This window comes from Homo sapiens, chromosome 14 (assembly GCF_000001405.40).
Source record: "Homo sapiens chromosome 14, GRCh38.p14 Primary Assembly".
In the NCBI taxonomy this organism is placed as follows: domain Eukaryota; kingdom Metazoa; phylum Chordata; class Mammalia; order Primates; family Hominidae; genus Homo; species Homo sapiens.
This window is the reverse complement of record NC_000014.9, coordinates 43,539,620-43,542,075: the sequence shown is the minus strand read 5'-3', so window position 1 is coordinate 43,542,075 and position 2,456 is coordinate 43,539,620. Positions and strand designations below refer to the sequence as shown.

The 2,456-nt window shown below is 41.9% G+C and overlaps 1 pseudogene; it reads left to right on the top strand.

The window, feature by feature from the left end:
- On the top strand, nucleotides 449-1,433 carry KRT8P2 (keratin 8 pseudogene 2; annotated as a pseudogene).

Below are 2,456 nucleotides of genomic sequence, written 5' to 3'. Positions count from 1 at the left end.
GTACTAAAATAAATTTTTAGTTCTCTACTTTTGTTTTAATCATCATAAAAATCATCATAAAAACAAAAGTAGATAAAGGACAGGGATTCCAGATAAATTTGAATTTCATATAAATAATAACTTTTTTATTATAATCATGCCCCATGCAATATTTAGGACATGCTTACAGGGAAAAAGTATTGTTACGTGAAATTTAAATTTATCCGAACATCTTATATTGCTACTTGCTAAATCCATCAACCGTTAAGGAGGGGTCTTAAAGAACATTTTTTAAATTCAAAATTCACGAAACTAAATGATTGGAAAATAAATTTCAAATAATTATATATTTTTTTAAAAAGCTATAGCATCTATGCTATTGAAGTGCATAAACTACTTAAAACTGCTTAAAGACATATGGGACATTTTATAGACTCTTTAGTAAATGGTGCTGTGGCAATTAACCGTATCCCAGATCTGGGACACGTCTGTGGTGCTGTCCGTGGACAACGGCCGCACCTCAGCCCTGCTGCGCTTGGCAATCTCGTCGGACTGCGCCTTGACCTTTGCAATGATGCTGTCCAAGCACAGCAGGGCTGAGGCTGAGAGCATGTACCAGATCAAGTATGAGGAGCTGCAGACACTGGCTGGGAAGCACGGGGATGACCTGCAGCTCACAAAGACTGAGATCTCCAAGATGAATCGGAACATCAGCCAGCTCCAGGCTGAGACTGAGGGCCTCAAATGCCAGAGGGCTTCCCTGGAGGCCTCCATCACAGTTGCCGAGCAGCGCAGGGAGCTAGCTGTTAAAGATGCCAAGGCCAAGCTGTCCGAGCTGGTGGCTGCCCTACAGCGGGCCAAGCAGGACTTGGAGCAGCAGCTGCGGGCGAGTACCAGGAGCTGATGAACATCAAGCTGGCCCTGGACATCGAGATCGCCACCTACAGGAAGCTGCTGGAGGGCGAGGAGAGCCTGCTGGAGTCTGGATTGCAGAACAGGAGTATCCATGGGAAGACCACTAGCGGCTATGCAGATGCCCTGATCTCAGCCTATGGGGACCTCACAACTCCCGGCCTCAGCTACGCCCGGGCTCCAGCTTTGGCTCTGGCTGGGCTCCAGCTCCTTCAGCTGCACCAGCTCCACCAGGGCCTTGGTTGTGAAGATGGAGACCCGCGATGGGAAGCTAGTGTCCGAGTCCTCTGACGTCCTGCTCCAAGTGAACAACCATAGCAGACCCTCTCAGCATACCCCTCCTGCGGCTGCCCCAGAGCCCCTGAGGGAGGCCACTGCGCAGGGGAGCACAGGGAACAGGAGACCCACCTGAGGCTCAGCTCTTGCCCTCAGCCCACTGGCGGGGGAGTTTACTGCCTGAGGTAGCCCCCTTGCCCATGCCTCCAGCTACAAAAGAATTCAATTTTTTTTTTCCCAACACAAACCTCAGCTACCTGTGCCAAAAAAAAAAAAAAAAAAAAAGGAATGACACAAAGAGTAAAACAGAAAAATATATTCTAGTACTACAGAAACAATACAGTAGTGAAAATGAATGTATGAGAAAGATGTGAGTCATAATGTGCATTAGAGTTTATCCTTGGATAATGAGCAAGGAAAAATAGATTGCAAACTATTTTAGAAAATATAATAGTATTTATATAAAGTATATTTTATGGACACTTACATGATTAGTAATATAAAACATTCATAGAATGGAAGGTGGCATATTTGGGAGAATGTTTATTATTTTGGGGAGATAAAGGGTGGATAAAGAAGATATTTACATTTATCTATTGATTGCATTTAAAATATTATTAAACATTATAAAATGCTAATATTTAAGAGGTAGCTAAAAGTAGATGCTAATGCTGTAGAAGTAGATGATAGTGTTCAAATTCTAGTTCTGCCACTTGCTAGCTGTGTGGCCTTAGAAAAGTTATGGATCCTCTCAGTGACTATTTTATCATTTGTAAAGGGGAACAGAAATAGTACATACCTCATAGGGTTGATTGCACTCTTTATCAAAAGAGTACATGAGTTAAAACTTTTAAAGTGCTTGGAATATAGCAAGACTATGTTGGTATTTGAGAAATAAGGTAAAATCAATAAACAGTAGTATGCATTTATGTTGTTAATTAAATAATTCTTTATAGAAATATTTTAGGTGATTAACATAGTGGCACTTTTAAAGCAGTGTTGTGGCCAAGAACAATCTAATAAACAAAAGAAAAGCAAGTGTACTTCCTTTCAAGAATCTTGGCTATATAAAGAAGACATGGGTGGTAAATTAGGATCTGTGGCCATGGGAGGACTCTTGCTTCAATGCAGAGGCAGAAGACCTAGGAGAGGGGCAGAGTGAACAATTCTAGAGATAAGGAAGGATTTAGAGACTAAGGCTTTTCCCTAAAATTTGGGAGTTGTTTTAATCCTGGGTCACATGAAAACCTCATTTTTGGCAAAAACTAGTGGCACTTCTCAGGCAAGAA